The sequence below is a fragment of the Homo sapiens genome, chromosome 6 (assembly GCF_000001405.40).
Source record: "Homo sapiens chromosome 6, GRCh38.p14 Primary Assembly".
Classification (NCBI taxonomy): Eukaryota; Metazoa; Chordata; class Mammalia; order Primates; family Hominidae; genus Homo; species Homo sapiens.
Window position 1 is genome coordinate 157,258,080 of NC_000006.12, and position 25,218 is coordinate 157,283,297.

Here is a 25,218-nt window from a genome sequence, read left to right on the forward strand (position 1 = left end):
TGATCATAGCCTCCTCTGCCACCATGACAATCATCTCCATAGTTACCCCCATATGAAACTTTTCCTGCAGCCTGGAAAAGGTCGTCTTGGGCAGAAAGCTGTGCTGCTGTCCACCATGAGGGGTCAGCTGGGGACTCCCCGCACAGGGACTACAGGCTGCAATACAAAGTGGTGCACGAAGGATCTAGAACAGACCACATGCCTTCCTCACATGGAATTTTAACAGAGCCCAGCATCTGACACGGATCAAAACAGCATCTGCAGGGACTGACTCTGGGTCACCCCAGCCCAGCCCAGTATGCAGGTAGCTCCAGGACCCAGGTGCCTTTCTTGTCACAGCCTTGGAGTGTCAGGGGCTGTGCAATGATCAGGCTCAGCCAGAGGGCTTGGGGCGTCACAATAGCTAAGGAGAAGCTTAATGCCAGAGAGAGAGGTGCAGGGTTGATCCTCAGTTTCCACACCGCGGATTATCCTGGGGGGCTTCCAGCATTTTGCACTGGGAAGCCGCAGCCGATTTCAGGAGTCATGTGATCATTGTGCACTTCTCTCCAAGGCAAACCCACTAGGAGCCCTGGGCTCACCTTGGCTCTTGCTTGACACCATCCTGGGGTCTGAAGAGAGCTGGAAGTGATTCCTGGACTGGCTGCTGTGGGTGTGGCTGGGTTTTCCCAGCTTCCTGGTGGAGAGTTTCCAGGGGGTTGAGGGAAGAGTCCCCTTCTTGGGAAGGCTGAATGCCCTGATCTCCAGGCTGGGGACCCTCTGGCTGGATGGACCCGGCCCCTGTGAGCGCTCATCGCAGGTGGGAGAGCAGAGTTTGGGGATAGGGAGATTTGGCATCGCAGATCAGACCCGAGAAGTTGGTGGAAACCTGAGGCCAGCGGCTGCAGCGTCCTGGTTGACATGGCCATGGTGGTTGTGATCATCCCTACATGGCTGAGGACAGCCCCATGTGTGACCACACCATTACCCTGGAGCCACTGCGGGCGCTCTGCCATGGACGGCCATGTGCACACCACTTGCCAGTAACCCTTGCTCAGGGTGGCCTCGGAGGTGTGAAAACAGGAAGAGCTGGCCCAGTGTGGGAGTGTGGTTTTTTGGGGTGCTGTGAGACAGCCTCCAAGGCCCCTAGATATGGCAGAGCCGGATGCTCCACAACCACTTCCGTTTAGCAGCTTTGTTGAGATATAATTCACGAGCCACACGAGTCACCTGTGGGGAGTGGAAGCTCATCGCAGGCCCTTTTGGACTTCATTTATTCTGTTGAGATGGTGGAAGGAGTCCTTGCCCTTCAAGAGATCCCTTTGTGCAGAGCCCCTGACCAAGAGGCCCACAGGAGCCCTGGGATTTTAAGTCACAGGGAAATAGGACCAAAAGAACCAATCTGGTCAACTCCTCTCCCCTCAGCCATGAAACTCTGGCTTATAACTAGGACACAAGCATTTTATTCTTCGAAAACTTTTTTGAAATATTGGAACAGAACACCACACAGACACACACACACACACGCACACATGCTTGCATACACATACTCGCGCGTGCACACACTGGCGTGTGCACACACATGGACACAAATGCACACACACTCGTGTGGGCACACACACACATATGCACACACACACGGACACACATGCACACACACAAAGACCCTGACATGGCAGGACCTTGGGAAAGGCAGCCCACTTATAATACTGTGAAAATGGGGGGCGGGGTCTCACTCTCTGTCTCTCTCTCTTTTCTCAGCCTTTTGAAATGCTTGTTTTGAGATAAATTGCTCACATCTGTGGAATCCTGCCTTCCATTCTGTGGCATTTGAGTCCCTTCTTGCTTCCCTCCCAATGCCCTGGGCTTGGGTCCTGTCTTTTACTTTTGGTGTCTCACTGTAAACATTGAGGAAGGACTTCCGGTGCGTGGAACACACAACACTTATATTTAGTTTGATGTCCCCGCCAGTCCTAAATTAAGCCACCTTCCTCCACCAGATTATCCTCTAGAATTGGTTTAATGATGATAACATTATTCATTTGACAACAAGAAATTGAACATTGTTTTTTTGTTTGTTTTATTTTCTGTTTTTTGCCTTGACCCAGACAGCTCTTCTAGCCAGATAAGTGGTATTTTACATTGGAAGCAATTATCATTGTAATTACAGAGATGGCTGTCATCAGAAAGGTGATATTCTAGGAAAAGTGTCAGAGGCTCCAGGCCACTTTGTTCCAGAATCCACCCTTGTAGGCAAACTCAGAATTTTTAATCCGTTTCTTCGCCTCTCTGTCTGCTCTTTGGAAGTCAGCCCGTGTCAGCTTTGGATGCCACTTCCTGGTTTGGCTGGAGGTCTTCTGAAGGCTGGCTTCTAGAGTATTTCAAGCTGACTTATTGATCTATCTGGTGATTTTGAACCTTTGGTCAAGAATGTAGTGCATACAAATTGCAGTCACAAAATCACATAAGCAAAAATTGTAATTTTTTTCTACAATTAAGCTACATTTTTATCCTGAACTTCTTTTCTGTCTAATGGTTAGAAAACCTAAACTAGTCAATTGCAGGTAAACTCAATTTCATGATCCAGCAGCCCTTTCGTGCTTAAGATCAGTTAAGATCAGGATTTTCTGCCAGTTTTTTTGCTAGCTTCTCATCACGGGGAGGTTGGATGGGTGGTAGCTTACCTGGTGTGGTAGGTTGCAAGTATGGCCTGACTTCACCTCTCCCTCTATTCTGCCGTTTGCCACATAATTCTCGTGTGTCCACCCACGGTGATGCCAGCCTCCGTCGCGGGACCTGTTTTGGCCAATGGGATACCAGCAAATGTAAAGCAATTAGAGGCTTGCAAAGCACTTGCATGATTAGACTTGCTTGATCTTCCCCTCTGCCCTTGCCAGGAGAAGGACATGCCCATGCCAGCCTTTGGATCCCAGGAGAAGAACGAGAGGCAGGTGAGCACAGCTGGCTCACCTGGATGGGATGGAGGCCACTGTAGCCAGCGTATGAGAAAGCAGCTCACAGCTACTGCAGGCTCATGGGAAACCCTGCATTAGGGGCACTGAGCCTGGCAGGCTCGGAGCTGAATACGTGTTCCCTGTGGTTAGGCAGCATCACAGTGAAGAGACCATGCACACGAGGTTGTGCTATCTAGGGGAAGTATCTGCCCTTCTTGCACTTGCATTTGCAGAGATAGGAGGTCTTCCTTTTATAGTTCATTACTGATATCTATTCCCTGTGAGATCCACTGGTCAGAACTGCCCCTCACAGACTGGGCACGGTGGCTCACGACTGAAATCCTAGCACTTTGGGAGGCTGAGGCGGGCGGATCCCCTGAGGTCAGGAGTTCGAGACCAGCCTGGCCAACATGGTGAAAACCCATCTCTACTAAAAATACAAAAATTAGCTGGGCATGTTGGCGGTCGCCTGTAATCCCAGCTACTTGAGAGGCTGAGGCAGGAGAATCACTTGAGCCCTGCAGGCAGAGGTTGCAGTGAGCCAAGATTGTACCACTGCACTCCAGCCTGGGGGATAGAATGAGACTGTGTCTCCAAAAAAAAAAAAAAAAAAAGAAAGAAAGAAAAAAGAAAAGAAAGAAAGAAAAAGAAAAGGAACTGCCCCTCACTGATGTTGTCCGGGGTGGCCAGGGCTCCATGGGCCTCAGGCCTGCACAGTCACTGTGATGCCCGTGGCTCTGCCTGCATTGTGGTATCCTCTGCGCCGCTCGCTTCATCCTCAGTGGACGGCCATGCCTTCGCAGGGCACCAGGAGTGCTGGCTGCCCTCTGACTGCGAGACACTGGAGAATGTTCGGTTCCCTTGATAGAATCTCATCATTACCCTGGTCCCCAGGAAAACATCTTGACTCCATCCCCTAGTCCCCATGGAATGAATTTGTCTGCACAGCCTCCCAGACCTCCAGACAGGAGCTAAGCCAAGCCCTCTGTGCTCACATCCAAAACCTGTCTTACCGATCTGTTGTTGCCCGCCCCCACCTCCCCCAACTCCCCTAGCAGTTCCAAACTGTTCCTGGCTGCCCCCAGGAATAGTCGGGAACCCCCTCATGCCTGTCTGCTATCCTTATTGTCCTGCCTCCCCTCCTCCCTGGACATCAATCCCTTTCTACAGGATTCTCCAACAGTGAAGCTTCCTCTCCCTCCAGTCTGATAGTCTTCATGAAGCCTTTAAGTGGGGTCATCTGACTTTTCATCTCTTCTCTTCCCACTTCATGTATGCAAGTTGCTGGCACACATTTCCGACTGGGTCCCTTCAGGGCTTAGCCACTCAACTTCTAAATGCCCAGCGCTTGCTTTCAAGACCATTCTCTGTGATGAGATTCAAGAATTGATTTTAATCTGAAAAGCCAAGAACTTGACCCCCACTCCCCTATACGTCTGGGTTCTTTATATTTTCTGGTTGTATTTCCAGATTAACATTGGCGGCCTGGCGCAGTGCCTCATGCCATAATCCCAGCGCTATGGGAGGCTGAGGTGGGAAGATTGCTTGAGCCCAGGAGTTCACGGCCAGCCTGGGCAACATAGGGAGACCCCATCTCTACAAAAATTATTTTTTAAAAATTAGCCGGGTGTGGTGGTGCACACCTGTGGTCCCAGCGAGGCTGAGGTGGGAGGATTGCTTCAGCCTAGGACGTCAAGGCTGCAGTGAGCCATGATCGTGTCACTGCACTCCAGTCTGGGTGACACAGCAAGACCTTGTCTTTTTTTTTTAAGACAGTCTTGCTCTTGTGTCCCAGGCTGGAGTGCAATGGCATGATTTTGGCTCACTGCAACCTCCACCTCCTGGGTTCAAGTGATTCTCCTGCCTCAGCCTCCCGAGTAGCTGGGATTACAGGCACCGGTCACCACGCCCAGCTAATTTTTGTATTTTTAGTAGAGACGGGGTTTCACCATGTTGGTCAGGCTGGTCTTGAACTCCTGACCTCAAGTGATCCACCCACCTCAGCATCCCAAAGTGCTGGGATTACAGGCGTGAGCCACCGTGCCCGGCCAAGACCCTATCTTAAAAAATAAAAAATAATTGGAAGAGGGTGGTAACTTGATACATTAAGAAAATATATGTGAAAGAAACCTCAGTTAATGCCCCCAAAGTTTATCCTATCACAAGAGTATGATTAAATTGAGAACCTCCTTTTGATTTGAGGCGATTGGCCAGTCAGAGTGTGGAACAAAGTTGAGTGAGTTTGAGTGCTGAGCAAGAAAGCGCTGGCTTGGCAGAGAGCTGTCTGGGAGAGCTGCGTTCCACTGTCAAGGCTGATGCCATCGGTGGGCCGCTGGGCAAATCACTTAGCCTCTCAAAGCCTCAATTTCCTCCTCTACAAAACAGGGGGTTGGATCAGAAGATATTTTTGGTCCATTCCAGCTTTGAAGTTCTGTGACCCAGGATTCATGCCAAGAACAATTAAGGCCAGAGCCAGATTTCTGATCTTGCTGAATTGACCACCTCTCCTTCTTTCAACTGACAGTTTTCCTTTCAGTTTCTAAATCTGATCGTTGCTATAATTGTTGGGCATTGACAATGGACGTGGGATGACAGCTGGACCCCCATGCAAACATCAGAGTGAAACAGGACAAAGATCATGGGCTTTGAAGTGAGACCAACCCAGGCTTTACGTTAGGAGGTGTTCAGCTGAAAATAACTTACAAATACCTAACAGTGGCTTCAACCATAAGGACATTTGTCACTTTCTCACCAAGAAGTCTGGAGGCAGGTGACCCTCAGATTGGTTTGACAACTCCATGATGCCATTCTGGACCTGGGCATAGTCCAAGCTTCCATTTTGCATCTTCAGCTTGTTGGCTTTCTCCATGTCACCTCATGGGTCTCAGAAGGCTGCCACAGGCCACACACCTGACTTCCATAACATGTCCACAGACAGGAAGGAGACATGGATCAAGAGGCACTGGTCCTTGAACTGTTCCCCACTTTTTACCAGGGAGAAAATCTTTCAAGAAGCCCCTCCTCCCAAAGCTTTCTCTTCTATCCCATTGGCCAGAATGGGTTACATGCTCATCCCATAGCAGCCCCTGCCAAAGGGGAACAGGATTCTTGTGACCAGCTAAGACCAATCACAATTTATCTCCTGGGGCCAGCCAGATTGCCATAAAAAACGAGGTGCAGGCAGTGCTGTGATTCATGCCTGTAATCTCAGCACTTCAGGAGGCTGAGGCAGGAGGATCACTTGAGTCCAGGAGTTCGAGACCAGCTTGGGCTACATAGTGAGACCCTGTCTCTACAAAAAAATTAAAAGAATTAGCTGGATGTGGTGGCAGTAGTCCCAGCTACTCGGGAGGCTGAGGTGGGAGTATTGCTTGAGTCTGGAAGTGTGAGGCTGCAGTAAGCCATGATTGTTGCACTGCCCTCCACCCTGGGTGACAGAGTGAGACACTGTCTCAAAAAAGGGGGGGCGGAGCTGCAAGTTGGTAGGCAGCTAACAGGATCTGCCACACTGGTTTTTAATTTGGGCTCCATTTAATTGTCTGAACAAATCACTCAGCATTCATGAGCCCCATTTCCAGCATCTGAAAAATTTCCAGCATCTGAAAAATAGGATAATCATTCTCACTTCACAGTGCCGTTGGGAGGACTAAGTCAGAGAATATGTGGACAGTGTCCAGGAGATTTGACCAGACCACACATGTCCCCTTGTTCTTCCTGATGTTACTATGGATGAAGGTAGTGGGGCATGGGCTGTGCCGAGCTGTCTATTCCCAGGTTTCAGTTTCAATAAACTCCATTTCCACAGCAAGACACGCATGAGTGTTGCCAAAGTCAACATGCTCAGCTCGCGTGTTTACGGCTGCGGCACCTGCTGCTCTAACGGGGCTCTGGGCTGTTCTGTACATATTGGTTTTGGACAGTGGCTGCGGCGATTTTGTCTTCAGATTTCTTATGGGGGAGATTTAGCATCTGGCAACATGGCCTCTAACTGCGAGGAGTCTCCTAACAAGCACTGTGGTCGGCCGTGTCCTGGAATCGGCCTTCTGTGAGGAGAGGAAAAAAGCATTGCTTAGACAAGGCACTGATTCCGTAGGACAAGGTGGCCCGTTTCATGCCCTATTGGGATCTAATGGGCATCTTAAACTTGCAAGCTCAAGTTGAACTTGGGGGTTTCCTGTTCTCTCCCCTCACAGCCAATCTGCCCGCCCCCTCTCTAAACAGAGCCCAACCCGACCTTGTTCTCTTCTCCTCTTCTTTATCCCGCTCACTCTCCTGCAATAGGCCCTGTCTGTTCCCCAGCCCAGAATGGCCTCCCGGTGACTGCGCAGAGAGAGAAGCCATGCCAGAGCTCGCTGCTGCTTAGACCCTTCTGAGGCTTTCCACTGCGAGAGGAACCCAGTCCAGATCTTTCCCTGGGCCCCAGGCCTTGTGATCTGGCCCCAGCTACCCCTCAGGTCCCTCTTCTCACACAGGGCCAGCCTCAGGGGCACTCGGCATCTGCAGGGGCTGTGACCTGGGGACCCCGACCAGGGCATCGCTCTGCTTCCCTTTTGAAATTCTGACCCGCTGTTGAACAGGAGGCCGCATTTCCTTCTGCAGTTGATCCCACAGACTCTGTCCTGTCCCCACACTCTTTCTGTCAGTCTCTGAACACCCAAAGCTCCCCCTTTCTTCTTGGGGCTCAGGACTGTTCCCCAGCCCTTGAAGTGGACCTGCCCTCCCAGCAAGGACTCCCCTGCCTGGCACTGCCCCGAAACCCAGCAGGCTCTGCCATCGCGCTGCGTGGCCCAGCTCCTCACAGCCCTTGCCCTCCCTGTAAGCTATCTTCTGTATTTGTGGTGTCTGGTTTCCCCTACACGCCAAGCTCCAAGTGAGCTGTGCCACCTGTGTGTGTACACTGGAACCCCCATGCTTAAGACAGCACCTGGCACATACAAACAGAGCGTGCACTCAGGAGAACTGTTGAATGAATGAATGAATGAAGAGCATAAAGCAACCATCTGATTCCAGAATTTAGATTCTGTTTTAGGCTTAGAGGAAGTAATTTAAAGGCACAAAAAGTGTTGCTCAAAGGAAGAGTTAATATTCTGTGATTTTGATTTGGGACAGGGGTCACCGAAGGAGAGGAAAATGAGTACGGCCATCCCTTTGCTGTACTGGCGCTGGCCTCTCAAAAGATGTGGTTAATAGGGTATTCGGAATATTCAGTGAGAGGCTCTAATGCTTTAATAAAATTAGGACTGAGGTAAAGGACAATGCCCAGAAGAGCTGCCACCACACACATACACACACACACATATACAAACACATACACAAACACACACATACACATACATGAATACACACATGCACACACATACACATACACACAAACACACACATACACAAACATGTACACATGCACACATGCACATACACACGCACACACATGCACATACACATGCACGCACAAATGCACACACCCATGCACATACACAAACACACACATACACACACATGCACACACATACACACACACACAAAAACATACACACAATGTTACACATACACACATTCATACACACATGCACACACACATACACACATGCACATGCACGCACACACACACACATACACACGTACACATACACACATACACATATACATGCGCACACACATGAGTTTAGGGCAGCAGTATCCCTTCTGAGTGGCCGCAGGTGCTTTGCAGAGAGACCGCACACAGCCCTGACCTGTGTCTGGCAGGGGATCCAAGGGTATAGACGGGTCGGCCCGAGTGAGGTTCGCACTCCCCAATTCCAGGATGCTGAGGTCCTGCCGCCTCTGCCCTCAGACCCAGCTCCGTGCAGCACCTTTGAGATCCGGGGTGATCCCCATCGCCCATGCCTGTGCTCTGGTCTCCTCTAGAGAAGGCCAGGAGTTGATTTTGGGTTTGAGGACAAAAAATTAGTCTCCCTCCAAGAGGCCTAACACGGGGCCCCAGTAAGTGCCCCGAGGCGGCTTCAATCTCTCAAGCTGGCCATTTGCACTAAGCTGCCGTGAGCACTGCACAGGATGATGTAGGAAAAGGCTGGTGAGCACGTGAGAGGCTCTGCACGCAGCCGTGGCTTCTCCGCCAGCTGTCTCGGTTCTGAACAAGAGAACACACCCTGACCAGTTTGTGTAGAAGGGGAGTTATTACAGTGTATGCAATGGTCCGTGGGACCACTGCGAGGGCTGCAGAGACAGGTCAAGACCGAGCTTCCAGGATCAGTGCTGAAAATCAGCTCCCCAGCCACTGCACTGCCACCCACACCCATGCGGCTTCTGCATGGAGCTGGGAGCGGCAGCTTGGGCCACTGCAGCCCCAACTGCTGTCACCACGAGAACTAGGGGCACTTGCTTCCACCTGCGCCGATGAAAAGGAACCCACAGAGCCTGTTCCCGCACATCACTCCCTGGCAGCTGACACCTCCTTGGGCCGCATCTGGCGGTAGAGCCTGCGTCCTCACTGCAGGGGGAGCTGGGCTTTGAATCCTGGCTTCCATGTCGAGAAGTCAAGGCTCGTAACAGGGGATTTCCTCCAACAGAGGAAGGTTACTTGGAGGAAGAGGGGCGTGACACCCAGGATGAGCTGGCCTCTCCTAAGTTGCGGTCAATGGGGAACTCTGCACCTACAGGAGCAGCCCCAGTCTGTGAGCTGCAGGGAGCATGAGACACAAAAGAAACCAACAAATAACAGGAAGCTTCAGAAAGTGTCCTTCACCCAGGCCGAGGGCTTGGCTTCTGCATCCGAGGCCCCCTGGGCATAGGTCTCTGTGGGTGCCTCGCCTGGTACCTGTGGGGAAGGGGGCAGCAGGCCTGGGCAACAGAGCCCTGGATGTTCAAAGCCAGCACCGTGGAGCTGGGCAGCCTCTGCCGGCTGGGGAGTTCTGGGTGCGGGTACTGTACCAGGCCCTGTGGCTCCTGATGGCTCCTGCTTTGAACCCCGACAGAGCTACTAATGGTGCAATTTCTCCAACAGGCCATTAGGCTGGTGTCTGACTGTTGCCCAGGGGAAATCATCACCATAAACATGATCATTGTCATAATTTGCATCCGCCCGGTGCTGAAACGAGCATTTTTTTTTTTTGAGAGGGAGCCTTGCTCTGTTGCCCAGGCTGGAGTGCAGTGGCACAATCTCAGCTCACTGCAACCTCCACGTCCTGGGTTCGAGCGATTCTCCTGCCTCAGCCTCCCAAGTAGCTGGGATTGTAGGCGTGAACCACCTAGCCCAGCTAATTTTTGCATTTTTAGTAGAGATGGGGTTTTACCATGTTGGCCAGGCTGGTCTCAAACTCCTGACCTCAGGTGATCCGCCCCCCTTGGCCTCCCAAAGTGCTGGGATTATAGGTGTGAGCCACCGTGCCCAGCCTGAACTGCATGTTAAGTCTCTTATCTATAAATACTCCAAGTAGCCCAGTGAGGTAGGTGTATCCCTACTTGACAGGGAGGACAGTGGTGCGCAGAGAGGCTGGCACGAGGAGGCAGTGGCAGCCTGGCCTGGGACTGTGCTCTGAGCCACTCGGTCAGGCTGTTGCTTCGCGAGGTGTGGACATGAGCTGCCACTTCACTCCCATGCACACTACAAACCAATGGGCCCCGTGGGCCCCACACATCACTCACAAGGTGCAGCATGACAAGCCTAGGTTGGGAGTGATGGATTCATTCTCCAGAGAACAATGACATCCCATAAGAATCCCACCTGAGTTCCTCCCCCAAGGAGCCATTTCTGTTCCCTGAGGGGTGAGGTGCAGAGTGGGGATGACCCTTGCACCCCAAGTGTGTGAGGAAGAGGATGAAGCTCCTCTTGTCTCAAAACTACAGAGAGTTGAGGACAGAGAACTCCTCTGAGACCAGAATAGGACGAGAAAGAGGGATTTTCCATCTACTCCACAACAGAAGGCCTGGGCCAGGGTCATGACGAGTCAGGGCCAAGACCCCTTGACCATGGGCCAAGTTTCCAGAGAGAACACAGCCAACCCTGCAGGTTCTGAAGAAAATGAGGCTGTGCTTGAAGATTGCTCTCGCTCAACCCGAACCCCGACTTGCCTAGTGGACTTAGTCAGCTGGCAGCAGACACTCAGAGTGTGAGGGGCCGTGGCTTGCATGGCCATCTATTCACTCACAGGCTATTGTTGTTAGAAAAGAATTTGCAATAGGATATGTGCAAGCAAAACACAAAAGATGTAAAATATATTTACAAGACCCAGGAGAGTGGTTAGAAACAAAATCAAGAGAAGGATAAAACGAGAATGCAAATAGGCAAGCTGTAGGAAGCCGCCTGAGGTCCCTGGCCAGCCCGCACGTTTGGTTTTGAGATTCCTCATTGCAGGAGTGAAAAGAGATCCGGTCAGGATCCAGACGCCTGTGCTTTCCAGTCTCCCTGGTTCCTGGCTCCCGAGGCTGTCTCTGCAAGGGCCTTTCCAGGTCAGAAGTCCTGCTTTCCGTCTGTTCTCACAGGAACCTCCCCTCCCACGCATTCCCTTCCTGTCCTCATTTTTCTGGCCCTTCTCTGGATTTATTTTCAGAAGCCTTTTCTTCTGAAGCTGCAGGGACAGCACAGAAGAGTCCAGGTTCCAGCGTTCCCAGGCCCCTCCCTGCCGTGGTAAACCAGGCTGAGCTCGGCCCTTCCCCACTGGCCTGGCCTGCCTTCCCGGCTGGGTGTGGGCCAGCGGCCAGGATGGGAAGCCCATGTGGAAAGAGATCTGTGTGCACCTCGAAGCAGCCAGCATCAGCCGGAGTGGAGCCCTGGCTTCTCCTTCAGAGTTAAGGGACTCATGACCTCCCTCATTACCCTTGGCTCATTTATAATCAGCTTTCCCATTATCTTGCAGTGAAGCCCTCCCAGAATCACATTAATTGCCTGTAACTGCTGCTGGGTGGTTCATTTATTTTTTCTAATTTACAGGATCCAAATGGTTTAACCCCAATTTTATTTTAAAACTTTGGGGGTTTTGTAAACTTCAGAGGCACTAAGGCTGAAGTGGCCAGACACAGACTCACACACATCCATATGCACACACATTATCACACGCACCATGGCACAAGCCAGGCAGGCCTTTTGGGTGAGACACGGGGGAGTCAGGCAATATGATCTGAGGGGCTGATATGTAACCAGCACTCCCACCATCACCACCAACAGCATCACCACCACCAACACCATCAATATCAATACTACCAACAGCATCACCACCACTACCACCATCACCATAACACCACCAACACCAACACCATTACCACCACCAATGACACCAACACCATTACCACCACCACCACCCTCACCAACACCAACACTAAACCATCACCACCAATACCAACACCACCACCAATACCAACACCACCACAATACCATCACCAACACCATTACCACCACCACCATCCCTACCACCACCATCATGACCACGATCACCATCACTGCCCAAGCCATCACTACCATAATAGCCATCACCAACAACATCATCACCACCAACACCAGCAGCAGCACCATTGCTACCACCACCATTGCCAGCACAACCACCACCACCATCAACACTAGCACTATCACTGTCACCACCACCATCACCACTATCACCATCATCACAACACCAACTCTATTACCACCACAAACACCATCACCACCACCACCATCACCACCACTACCATCATCACCATCAACACCATTACTACCACCACCATCACCAATAATATTATTACTCCTACTACCAACAACACTAACACCACCACTTCCACCTCCATCGCTAGCCATCATCATGTGTACACACACACACACACATGCACATATACACATTTTGTAAGTTAAATAGTGAATGAAGAAATTTGCAGGAAAAAAAGTTTGCTGACCTCCTGCAATGGTGTCGAGAATGCTATTATTTACATGTTTCTATCTTAACAGAGGCACAACTTCCCTCTATCCTTGGTGAGGAGTAGATCCTATAAAACAACAGTAGATAAGTGGGTCTCAAACTCTATCATGCAAGAGAATCACCCAGAGGGCTTCTTAAAACACAGATTCCAGGACTCCACCTAGAGTTTCTGATTCAGCAGGTCTGGCTTTGGGCTTACTCATTTGTGTTTCTAATAGGTTCCCAGGTGATGGCTCTGGGGCCACACTTGAGAATCATTACAGTAGGTGAGGCACATACTCACATTCGCACACACACACAGAAACACTTGCAGAATGGATCAAACCTTTTTTATGTAAAAGTTTCTGTCAAAGTAGAGCTTGGAGAATGTGGAGAAAAAAAAATTAATAAAATGAGAGCTAAAGACACGTTAAAACCATTTAACCAGCTGAGAAAAGTAATGTTATAATATGATTGGCCTGGAGATGTAAATTTTGGAGACATATAGAAAATAGAAGTTTTAAGGTCAAAGAAACCTTTCCGATGCTAGGACAGAGATGGAACCATTCAGAAGCAGCTGTAATGTGGAGGTGGAGCCATGGATGAGCTGAGAAGCAGCAAGCAGTGATGTCAAGGCCCAGCGGTGGGTGGGGAGGATCCCTGCTGAAGGCAGGAGGTGCCATGAGGGGCGTGAACACAGTGTCCCTGGTGACCCGGTCAGCAGCATTGCAAAATGTTAGTGCAGCCGGCACCTGTTTTCAGACATGACCAAGGCCCCAAGAAAGAGGCCAGCAGCTAAGGGGGTCAGCGGAGCGGTGGGAAGTGGGGACCCTGAGTCAGAAGCCTGGCCTTTGTCACCCACTAGCACTCACTTAGCCTCTCCGCGATGACACAAAATGCCAACAACAGTCAGAGCTTGCCAGCTGCCCAATTGCTCTGCAAGGCTCAAAGCGCTCTTATTACCAAAAGTGAGACTAAAATGCAGATGGTACATCCAACTCAAGAGAAGCTACCCTGCCTAGAGGGTTCTGTATGCTTTGTCTCAAGTTTGAGGCAGTTTAGAGACAGATGAGCAGATAGACTTGCAGAGGGGCTGTGGAGAGACTGCACAAGGGTAGGCAGGTGAGGTAGCAGCCCCCCGCAGACCCAGTCACCTCCCTTGGCCTCTTGGTGCCTGAAATGCTGCCTTCTGATATGCTGTTCATCTGAAGACCTTTCCATGTTCCAGAGTTTCTGCTGAAAATGCAAATATCCCTGGGAGATGTGGTGCCTTACGCCCTCTAGCCTGGGGAAGCAGCTGGCCCTGGCCACCCGCACAGAGCCGGGATGTTTGGGCTCACTCTTCCTGCCTTGTGTGGCCCCTGCATATATTTTTAGCTGATTTTTCAACTTTGCAAACATCCAGGGAGGAAAGAGCAGCCAGAAAACACAGTTCTCAATATTCAGATGGAAAGAAAACTCATTTGTAGCTAATCCTAATGGTTCTCAATTCAAAAAATATGGGCTGGTACCAAGAAGATATTCAAAGATCTCACCATTTCTTGAAGCTGAGTCTTCCCTGGCCTCCATCACATATCCATGACAGTGATAGGGGGTGTGACAGGCACCAGGATTTTTAAAACTCCCCAGATGACTCTGATGGGCAGCCATGCTTGAGAACCCGTGGCCTGGTCCGCTGTTAGGGCGAGAGAAACCCAGGGCTGGTGTTCCCCTCCTCCACCTGCTCGCTGTGTGGTCATAGGTCAGTTCCCCGCAGTCTGAGTGCCCAGCGCTGTCACCTGGGAAATAGGAGGGGCAACTTCCTTCCCAGGGTAGATGTATCAGAGATAATGTGTGTGAGAGTGCCCGAGGCATGGAGTTGGTGGGGGGGGGGGGCTGGCCAAAGAGAGATGTCATTATTTGTGATTTTACTGAGGAAGAAACTGAGGCACTGAAGCTGTGCATAAACCTTGGTCTGGCTCCCTGAAAACGAGACAGTTGGAGTGGAAAATGTCAAAGGTTCCTTTGAGCTCTAGCAATGTGGAGTTCTGCAGTCAGAGGGTTGAAATGCTGGGACATCTTGAATTGTTTTGAAAGGAAAGACTCATAAACGAGGCACATAGAGCCTTAGGAAACAACCTGAATCCATGCACAGTGAAACAAAACGAAACAGAGCCTCAGCTACTGAATTCATCTCCTCCCCTGACGCCCCGTTGCCCAGGGCCTCTCATTTCCACAGACTGCAGTTGCAACCTCTTGGCCCTTCTTGGTCGCCAGTCGTTTCAGGTCCTGGGCTAATGGACGTGGCCTGGGAGTGATCAGCCAGGGCCATTACCCCTTGGACGGTGCTGTAGGCAGACCTAGGCTTCGGGACTCCTGGGCTCCTGGACCCCTGGAAGAGTGTCGAGAAACATCTGGACAGGATTTCTCAATCTGGGCACTACCGACATTTTCAGCAGTGAATTCTTTTTTCGTGGGGACCTGTGCTGTGCATGGCAGAATGCTTAGCAGCATCCTGGCCTCTACCCACGAGGTGCCAGTAGCACCCTCTTAGTGTCTCTAGGCAATACCAGAGACGTCCCCTGGGGGAAGAGAGGCAAAACTCCACCCACCAACCCCCTCCCCCCAGCCTCTCATTGAGAACTGCTGATCTGGAGGCACCCTAGTTGTCCGGAGGCGGAGGGAGGAATGGGGCTCCTTGGGGTCAATATGAATTTGTTTTGTATTCCTTGTATTTAAATCCACACAAGAAAGAGCCACTCTACAAAGGGCAGAGTTGTTTCAACTGCAGATGGACTCTTCCGGGACTAGAGGAAAGGATGGGATTTTCTTCTTCGAGGTGCTCTTTAAAAGGACACCCTGAAGCCCGGCAGCTGCAGCCAGGGATGAGACCTCACCAACCAAGGCGACGTAGGTAACAGGGCCCATGGGCCCCCAGGAGGCTCACAGGGAGGGCCCTCCCCTGGCCAGGCCTCGGGTGGGCTGGGTTTGCCGGCTATGCCCCGCCCACACTCGCCCTCCCAGCGGGCCCAGCTCCTATACCCTGCTGGGTGCGTCTTCACTGTGGTTCACAGAGAGACGTTCTCACTGCCTTGCTCTGTGGAAAAGCAGATTGCCGAGGTGGATGGGAGGGATCCCTATTTTGGAAAAATAACATATCACCGTACACACACCCACACGCAGAGGGGAAAATGTGGCAGCAGACACCAAAATATTCCTATAGTTATTGATGGAAGCTGGGATTTCAGGTGCCTTTTTTGCTTATGTTTTCTCATTTTTTGACCTTGAACATGTAGTTACTTATAACAAGAAAAAGTCATTCGAGAAAGTAAAGAAAGTAGACAGAAAATGGCACCTTAAAACCCAAACCGCCAGAAACACCACTTAGATCTCAAAAAGGCACTAGGAAAAGCCCACTTCTGGTTTTTGGGTTTTGGCAGCCACCATGCAGAGGGCGGCCCCTGGGTGCTGAGAGTTCCGGGGTCGGGAGTGGGATACAGGTGGGTAAATGAGGGGCTCCGAGAGGGTGCAGCTGCGGGCGCTGAGGACTGAACTCTCCTGGGAGCACGCGCGGGGGACAGGGAACGGCGGCCACGCCCGGGGACCGACGCTGCAGCCGGGAGGAGGCTCAGTCTCTGCGCCTGGGGGCGTCCAGGGAGATGCCAGGTGGGCGCGGCCAGACGCGGGACCTGGGGACCACGGCACCCGCAGCCACGCCTTCAGGACGCGTGGGCGGGACGGGCTCCGTGGGCTTCTGATGAGGACGGTCGGGGAGATGTCGCCTGCGCGTTTCCGGGAGCCTCCAGTGGCCCCGGTTCCAGGGGACCAGACAGAAAACAAAAGAGCAAAAGGCAGCCAAGGCCTCCAGCTAGGGGTCATCCCCGCAGCCCCGGTCCCGGACGGGGCGGGAGGCCGCTGTGGGGACGCGCCGCCGGGCCTCGCTGTCAGGTCGCCCGCGCCCCGCTCCGCCCGCCCCGTACAGGCGGCGACAGCCCCGCCTAGGCCCGCGCCTCGGCCGCCCTCTGCTGGGCGAAGCGAGCACCACGGCCGAGCGGCGGCCCCGGGAGCGCCGCGGGGACTGCAGAGCGCGGGGAAGCGGCGGCAGCGGAGGCTCGGCCTGGAAGGCAGGGGCCTTGGGGGCGTCCGGGGAGAGGGCCGGGGACATCTGTCCAGCGTGGGCCGTGCGCGGTGCCGAGCGCGCGGGGAGGGCCGAGGAGCTAGACGCGGACCCAGCTCCTCTAGGAGCCGGGAGGGATGGGAGGGACGGAGGGTAAACGGGCAGTGCCGGCCGAAGCCCGGTGGGACTCGGCGGCAGACAGACAGGCGGCTTCCGAGGGAGGACCCGGGGCCGGGCGCGGGCGGCGGGAGGCGAGGCCCTGGAGGCCTGGCGCTTCTCTGCACCGCGAAGACCCGGAGGCTTCAAGCAACAGACGCGGTTCTGGAGGCCGGAAGTCCAGAGTCAAGGTCCCCGAAGGCTGGGGGAGAGAATCTGTTCCATGCCTTTCTCTTGGCCTCTGGGGTACAGGGTCCTCAGTGTTCGGGGCTTGTCTCCCGTCACTCCAGTCTCTGCCTCTGTGGCCACATGGCCCTGTGTCCCTGTGTCTGTCTTTTCTCCTTTTACAAGGACAACAGTGGTCTTGGAGTAGAGCCCACTCTCATCAAATTTAGCTTCATTTTGGACGGGCGCTGTGGCTCACGCCTGCAATCCCAACACTTTGGGAGGCCAAGAAGGGCGAATCACCTGAGGTCAGGAGTTCGAGACCAGCCTGGCCAACATGGTGAAACCCCATCTCTACCCAAAATGCAAAAATTAGCCAGGGGTGGTGGCGGGCGCTTGTAATCCCAGCTACTCAGGAGGCTGAGACAGGAGAATCGCTTGAACCTGGGAGGCGGAGGTTTCAGTGAGCCGAGATCGCGCCACTGCACTCCTGCCTGAGCGACCAAGTGAGACTCCGTTTAAAACAAAACAAAACAAAAAAAACCTCCTGTAATCCCGGCACTTTGGGAGTCCAAGGCAGGCGGATCACCTGAGGTCAGGAGTTTGTGACTAGCCTAGCCAACATGATGAAACCCCATCTCTACTAAAAGTACGAAAAATTAGGCTGGTGGCGGGTGCCTGTAATCCCAGTCACTCAGGAGGCTGAGACAGGAGAATCGCTTGAACCTAGGAGGCGGAGATTGCAGTGAGCTGAGATCGCGCCACTGTACTCCAGCCTGGGTGATAGAGTGAGACAGCGTCCCCCTCTCAAAATAAATAAATAAAAATAAAATAAATAAAGTGTGTGTGTATACATACATAGCTTCATTTTAACTTGCTGAAAATGGAAAGGCCTGATTTTCAAAGAAGGCTTCAACACTGAAATCTTCAACACCAGGGGTTTGGACTTTAACATACCTTTTGTGGGGACACAGTTCCACATACAGCAGGCCTGTTCCAGGTGGGCGTGCAAAGTCCACAGGGCTTCACTCCCAAGGCAGAGAGAACCTTGAAAGTTGTCATGATCTCACCTCACCGGAGTGGCCCTAGAAGGCAAGAGCCCAGCCCTGAGTCCCAGCAAGGAGGATTCCAAGCACTTCCACTCCCCAGGGAGGGAGGGGGCCTGGGGACTGCTTGGGGTTTTAGATCAACCCATGTATTGTAGGCAACGATTATTTTATTCTCAAAAAACAAACATGCCACAAATATCCCTCCTTCACTTTCTTTAGTTAGAAGAGCAAGCCATGTTCACTGAGGGAAAATGGGGAAAGTAGATTATAAAGGTTTAAAATTCCAGTGCCCCATGATGGCCGCACACGAAAAGGTGCATCTGTCTACCTAAGTGGGTTGGATGTCACTGTCTGCAGTGGAATAATGCCACATGCCAACCTTTCTGGAACTATGACTTTTGCCGTCACTTTTTGAGTTTAGTTTCCTAGACTCATCAATAGGGCTGTTCTCTGAAAATATGACCTGCAGTTAGGACTCGGTGCCTCTATAAATGGCAGGTGCTTTGCTCATGTGGCTCAGAAGATGTGGAGAGTCTGGGCCTGTCTTGAGGAGGTGAGCTTGGGGAGGGTGCCCCTTGGCCACAGGCGCCACGCTCTGGCAGGACCAGGGGATGTGACCTTCTAAGGAGACACGACCCTGGTAAATAAGCAAGATAGCTGCCGGAAGAATAAGGCGGAAAGTGTCCAGAAAGGATGGGGGTGGGGAAGAGACCCAGGGGTCTCGCAGGCCAGGAGCAGGGCCAGGCTGGCTGTGGGAGAGTTGAGAAAGAGGGGGTGCAGGGGCTGCACGGAGAGGGGAGTGTGTGTGTGTGTGTGTGTGTGTACTGCTTCTTTTGAACAATGTAGAGTTCTCTATTACAATTGCTACATACCAATAGCCTTAAATGACAAACTAATCTCACAGAGTAAGATTTCAAAAAATAAAGGACTGAAATAAAGGCATGCACTGGGCTCTCTCTCATGGTGTCTTTTCCCCCCCTCCGAGATAAGAAACTTCCTTTGTTCTAACCTGGGAAGCTCAGGGATCTCCGTTCAGCCAGAACCGGAACTCTCTTTAGAGTTAAACCCACAACAGAAGAGCCTCCATTTCCCTCTTCTGCACTCCAACCAGCAGGGAAGCCCTTCTCTCCTCTGGTCCCACTCATGGCAGACAATAAGGAATGACATGGAATCTCCATTCGAGCGCATAAATACTCCAACTGTTTTCCTCCAGCCAGAAGTGACTCCACATTTCCCAGCCTCCCAGTCAAGCTAGTCCCAGCTAGCTAAGCATAATGCCCAAATATTAAACAATGCTTAAGATGAAAGTGGGGTGTCACAAACAGCCACCACTTGAGGTAAACATTTTACAAACTACACTTTAGAAACTAAACATTTACCATTTGCCATTGAAAAGTTTTCATTTCAGAGCTCAGGGTTATAGCAACCCAGGATCTTTTACAGAAGCAGAAACTTAAAGCTGAGTTGGTGCACGGGATGTTTTGTGTTGAATTTTTCACAAAAGCCAAGTCAGGATTTCAGATACCTCCAGAAATAAGAAAGCTACCATGGGAAGATTTCAGCAGTATTTATTTTTATTTACAATTTATACCCTGTCAGCTTCTAAAAAGGATTGGAGGCAGCTTCCAATAAAAGATACACGCACAATAAGATTGCTAAAATGGGAACAGAAAATTGAAAACTCATGCCAAAGAAGGAGGGAGTCAAAAAGGTGGTAAGATTATTATGACGCGAGATTAAATTTAGTTCCAAGCTTTCTGATGGCCAAAGCAAAGATGGAAATGTGGAGGCTGGCAGGCACTTCAGTATCTGAATAAAGAAAAGAAAATCATAATCCGTGTATTAGTCTTCAAGGGGTATCAGCGGGTCTCCAGTACCGTGTTCATTGGGTGACCCCTATAAGGGCCTTTGAGTCAGGTGATGGAGAGGGTCCAGCCCTCCTGCGTGTGGCAAGCCTAGGCTTTGGAGTGGGACACCCGCCGCGCCAGGCCCCAGGCAAGGGGCCCAGCCCAGCCCTCGCTGCAGAGTGCCTACTCCTACAGCTGCCTCACCCTGAGGTGAATTATCCACAAGGCCAGGGCCTCTCATTTCCTACTCAGTCAGCCCCGAGACCCCTGAGGCTTGGCCTTTGCCCTGGGTCCATCCTCTCCAGTGGCTAGCCCTGCACATGTTCATGCCTCTGGGCCTCAGGAGGGCCAGGGGCAGCCAGTGGGGTGCAGGGGAATTTGGACTGCAGGCTGGGTTGTCCACACGCTTGTTACTATAATCATTGTTATTTCTGATTCACCGTGCAATTCGGCCATTTATATTTATAATGCTATTTGAGAGATTGTGAAAAAGCAACACCACCCTGAAAACACACAGTCTTCCTCTAGGCTAGATAGGCTGCAACAGATTAGCGCTTTTCCCTCCTTCCTTTTTTTTTTTTTTGAGACAGATTCTTGCTCTTGTTGCCCAGACTGGAATGCAGTGGCACAATTTCGGTTCATTGTAACCTCCGCCTCCCAGGTTCAAGCGATTCTCCTGCCTCAGCCTCCCGAGTAGCTGGGATTACAGGTGCCTGCCACCAAGGCTGGCTGATTTTTGTATTTTTTGTAAAGATGAGGTTTCACCATGTTGGCCAGGCTGGTCTTGAACTCCTAACCTCAGGTGATCTGCCCACTTCAGCCTCCCAAAGTGCTGGGATTGCAGGTGTGAGCCACCCCAATGGCCCATTTTTCCCTTCTAAAAGGGCTTCTTACCTGCATTTGTTCAGGTCCTGTGGGTTTAGAGCTTGACATTTAAGGACCAGATTGGGCTGGGTGCAATGGCTCATGTCTGTAATCCTAGTGCTTTGGAAGGCCAAGGCGGAAGGATCGCTTGAGGCCAGGAACTGGAGGCTTCCATGAGGTGTGATCACACCACTGCACTCCAGCCTGCATAACAGAGTGAGAAAAAAAAAGAAAAAGAAAGAAAGGAAGAAAGAAAGAAAGAAAGAAAGAAAGAAAGAAAGAAAGAGAAAGAAAGAAAGAAAGAAAGGAGGGAAGGGAGGAAGGGAGGAAGGAAGAGAGGAAGGAGAAAGAAAGAAAAGAGAGAAACAAAGAAAGAGAGGAAGGAATGAAGGAAGGAGAAAGAAATAAGAAAGAAAAGAAAGAAAGAAAGAAAAGAAAGGAAGGAAGAAAGAAAGAAAGAAAGAAAGAAAGAAAGAAAAAAGAAAGAAAAAAGAAAGCCACAGAGAGAGAGAGAGTGGGGGAAGGAAGGAAGGAAGGAAACAAGAAAAGAGAAAAAAGAAAAGAAGGAGGGAGGGCAAGGAAAGGAAGGAAGGAAGGACGGAAGGAAGGAAGGAAGGAAGGGAGAAGCAATTTCTCTTTCTTCTCTGCTCTCTTGTCCCTTTATCCAACCCTCCCCTAAAATTCTCAGGACTTTCTACTCTATTATAGTTTTTTTTCTGTTTTCTTTTTCTTTTTCTTTTTTTTTTCTCTGGTATCTTCTCTCGTCTTAGAGTTTGGTCCTGTGGAGGGCAAGGACTATATCTGATGTATCTTTGATTCTCTGGGATTTACCACAATGCCCGATGCCTATAGATCCTTAATAAATGTTTGTTGTCCAAATGAAAGAATGAAAAAGATCATATCGTAAAAATAGAGATAAGTTGGGAAGATATATCGGTTATGCTGTTCTGTTGAGGGAAAGGTCATGTATTTAGAAATTTAAACTTTTGGTTATTGTGTTCACATCATAGTATACAAGCATCATTTATAGTTTGGCTTTGAGAACTTTTCTGGTATTACGTTTATGGAAAATGTATAAAAGAAACAAGTTTTGGTTATATTTTTATATTTGTAAAGTAAAAGTTTGGTTAAAGTGATCACTGTTCTTTTTTTATTTTATTGTTATTTCAATAAAAAATATTTGAAAGAGAAAAAAAAGAATCAATGAAGGCAGAGACTAAAACAACAACAACAGCAAAACCAGCGCAGCCTTGCGGTGCTGGGTGGAGCCGCGGCTGAGGGAGGAGAAAGGGCGGAGCCCGGGACGGCCGCTCTCCCCGCATTGTGTCCTGGTGGGCCTCTGAGGAGTCTGAGAATTCCAAATGTGAACCTGGCGGTCCAGGCTGCCATGAAGCTGTCTGTCAGGGAAGGAGACCGAGCGCATTTTACTCCCCAGGTTACGAGCTTGGTGGGTGACTGTTGCGCGTAACTTTTACGAAGGTGGCCGGGACCTGGGCCTGCATTCAGTCTTGCCCCGGGCCCAGCAAATGCTCAATTTCAGGCTACAGTCGTCTTTCCCTTGTAGTCTGCTGCCTGGGCCAACGGGGTGTGGGGGCTTTATAGGCCAGATGTGAGTTTGAATCCGAGCTGTGACATTTATTAGATGCGTGATCTTGGACAAAAAATTCACCTGATTTTCATTCCAGCCATGTGACCCCAGATACACTATGAATAAATAGTGCAAATGGAGGCCTCAGTTTCCTCCTCTGTACGATGAGGATATAATAGTGTCCACCTCACGGAGAGTGTGAGGATTAAATGAGTTAATATATGTAAGGTCCTTAGAGCAGTGCCTGATATATAGTAAATGCTACATAGGTGCTGTTGTTATTATCAATATTAGGATCAGTGACTGTTCCTCTCTAAGTGGGTCTTATCTAATTCTCCCTCCCGCAGGACCCCCAAGTAAAGGATCAGACCCTTGGCTGGCACCTCCCTGTGCTCAGCGGCCAGAGGTCACTGTGGAGGCCTGGAGGTGCTGTGAGACCTGGTGCCCCTTCCCTGGAACCCGAGCTGCCTCCCAGCTTCTCCGCGCGTGTGGCCCAGCTCTCACCCTCCTGCACTCGACCAGGAACAGGCCCAGTGTGGGTACTGCACCCACAGCCACCCCGACATCCAAACCAACATCTGCCCCTGGACAGACAGTGCAGGGCTCTGCTCAGGTACAGCTCTGCCATTCACTCTCATTTCTTTTCTTTTAAAAAGAGAAAAGTGGCCGGGTGTAGTGGCTCACACCTGTAATTCCCAAACTTTGGGAGGCCGAGGCGGGAAGATCATTTGAGGTCAGGAGTTTGAGACCAGCCTGACCAACATGGTGAAACCTTGTCTCTACTAAAAATGCAAAAAAAAAAAGAAAAAAAAATTAGCCAGGTGTGGTGGTGGACCTGTAATCTCAGCTACTCCGGAGGCTGAGGCAGGAGAATTGCTTGAACCTGGGAGGTGGAGGTTGCAGTGTGCTGAGATTGCACCACTACCCTCCAGCCTGAGCAACAGAGCAAGACTCCATCTCAAAAAAAAAAAAAAAATGAAAAAGAAAAAGAAAAAAGAGAAGAGCAAAATTAGAGCTGATGGGTTCTATGGGCTGTGCAGTCCACAGTACACACCCTTCCTGTCCCCAGCCGCTGGGGACCCGCAGTCAACAGCTCTGGTCCTCCTGGCTCAGGCCCAGCCGCCTCCTGCTGGCCGTCCAAGGTGGCACTTCCTAGGGATTGCCAGGGCCTCTACTCTTCCTGTCCATTCTCCAGTCGCAGTGGCCTTCCTCTGCCCCCTCAGATTACCGGGAGTTCTTAAAGGAGGGACCGTCTAATTGTTGCCGTGTCCCCACCTAGTGCTGGCCAGGCACTTGATAATTGTGCTTAGATGAATGAACGAATGACTGAAAGAAAATACCAGTTTTATATGTCACAAGCTCAGAAAACTTTATTAACTTTATATTATTGTTGCTATAGGCAAAGTGCAAACCTCTTAGTCGGCCAGTAAAGGCCTTTTATGCTTTTATGAGTGGGCCTTAACCATGGGCCTTAAGCTACCTTTTTTTTTTTTTTTTTTTTTTGAGATGGAGTCTTGTTCTGTGGCCCAGGCTGGAGTGGTGTGATCTCAGCTCACCGCAACCTCTACCTCCCAGGTTCAAGCGATTCTCTTGCCTCAGTCTCCTGAGTAGCTGGGACTGGCAGGCACACGCCACCCCGCCCAGCTAATGTTTTTGTATTTTTAGTAGAGATGAGGTTTCTTCATGTTGGCCAGGCTGGTCTCAAACTCCTGACCTCAGGTGATTCGCCCGCCTTGGCCTCCCAAAGTTCTGGGATTACAGGTATGAGCCACAACACCCAGCCTTTAACGTGCCTTTCTGACTCATCTCCTTCTCTCCGTCTTGCCTATCCCACCACCCACTGCACCGTGGTCTCGGGCTCACTGTGCCACCAACAAGTCTTCCTCTTGGCGCCAGCTTCTTCTGCTCCTCTGAGCTTCTCCTGCTCCTCTCTGCCTCATCTCCCAAAGCCCCTTCCTCTTTGGCCTCTTCCAGGTCATTCTCTCTGACTCTCATCTGCACTGTCCTCTCCCTTTCTGGGGTCATCAGCCACACCAAGGTCTTGGTCAGTTAACTCAGCGTGACCTTGTCTGCCTCTCCAATTATATCATAAACAACCTGTGGACCGCACCTTGGGGGGCCTTCCTAAGTGCTCCCCATGTCTTTCCGCATGGCTCCTGAAGGGGTCCAGGGTCTCGTGTTGTCATGTGCCTGTGCTTCTGCCCACTCCTCGGGTGCTCACAAGGGTAGGGCTGCCTGGGTGACAGTACGGCCTCCTGCAGCTGCGGGAGAGGGAGTCCAGAGGTGGCAGGAGAGGGAGTCCAGAGGTGGCGGGAGAGGGAGTCCAGAGGTGGCGGGAGAGGGAGTCCAGAGGTGGCGGGAGAGGGAGTCCAGAGGTGGCGGGAGAGGGAGTCCAGAGGTGGCGGGAGAGGGAGTCCAGAGGTGGCGGGAGAGGGAGTCCAGAGGTGGCGGGAGAGGGAGTCCAGAGGTGGCGGGAGAGGGAGTCCAGAGGTGGCGGGAGAGGGAGTCCAGAGGTGGCGGGAGAGGGAGTCCAGAGGTGGCGGGAGAGGGAGTCCAGAGGTGGCGGGAGAGGGAGTCCAGAGGTGGCGGGAGAGGGAGTCCAGAGGTGGCGGGAGAGGGAGTCCAGAGGTGGCGGGAGAGGGAGTCCAGAGGTGGCGGGA

At 51.3% G+C, this 25,218-nt stretch overlaps 7 annotated features.

Moving 5' to 3' along the window:
• Positions 9,302-10,008: an enhancer, noted in NCBI's record as "H3K4me1 hESC enhancer chr6:157611546-157612252 (GRCh37/hg19 assembly coordinates)". NCBI's record gives its function as "activates a minimal SCP1, AML or CMV promoter by ChIP-STARR-seq in naive H9 embryonic stem cells {active_cell/tissue: H9 hESC(naive)}" and the evidence as "EXISTENCE:reporter gene assay evidence [ECO:0000049][PMID:30033119]".
• Positions 15,218-16,050: an enhancer, noted in NCBI's record as "H3K4me1 hESC enhancer chr6:157694329-157695161 (GRCh37/hg19 assembly coordinates)". NCBI's record gives its function as "activates a minimal SCP1, AML or CMV promoter by ChIP-STARR-seq in primed H9 embryonic stem cells {active_cell/tissue: H9 hESC(primed)}" and the evidence as "EXISTENCE:reporter gene assay evidence [ECO:0000049][PMID:30033119]".
• Positions 15,677-15,836: a silencer, noted in NCBI's record as "silent region_17720". NCBI's record gives its function as "represses an Ori minimal core promoter by ATAC-STARR-seq in GM12878 lymphoblastoid cells {active_cell/tissue: GM12878}" and the evidence as "EXISTENCE:reporter gene assay evidence [ECO:0000049][PMID:35858748]".
• Positions 16,051-16,882: an enhancer, noted in NCBI's record as "H3K4me1 hESC enhancer chr6:157695162-157695993 (GRCh37/hg19 assembly coordinates)". NCBI's record gives its function as "activates a minimal SCP1, AML or CMV promoter by ChIP-STARR-seq in primed H9 embryonic stem cells {active_cell/tissue: H9 hESC(primed)}" and the evidence as "EXISTENCE:reporter gene assay evidence [ECO:0000049][PMID:30033119]".
• Positions 16,051-17,116: a biological region, named in NCBI's record as "H3K4me1 hESC enhancer GRCh37_chr6:157695162-157695993".
• Positions 16,267-16,356: a silencer, noted in NCBI's record as "silent region_17721". NCBI's record gives its function as "represses an Ori minimal core promoter by ATAC-STARR-seq in GM12878 lymphoblastoid cells {active_cell/tissue: GM12878}" and the evidence as "EXISTENCE:reporter gene assay evidence [ECO:0000049][PMID:35858748]".
• Positions 16,557-17,116: a silencer, noted in NCBI's record as "silent region_17722". NCBI's record gives its function as "represses an Ori minimal core promoter by ATAC-STARR-seq in GM12878 lymphoblastoid cells {active_cell/tissue: GM12878}" and the evidence as "EXISTENCE:reporter gene assay evidence [ECO:0000049][PMID:35858748]".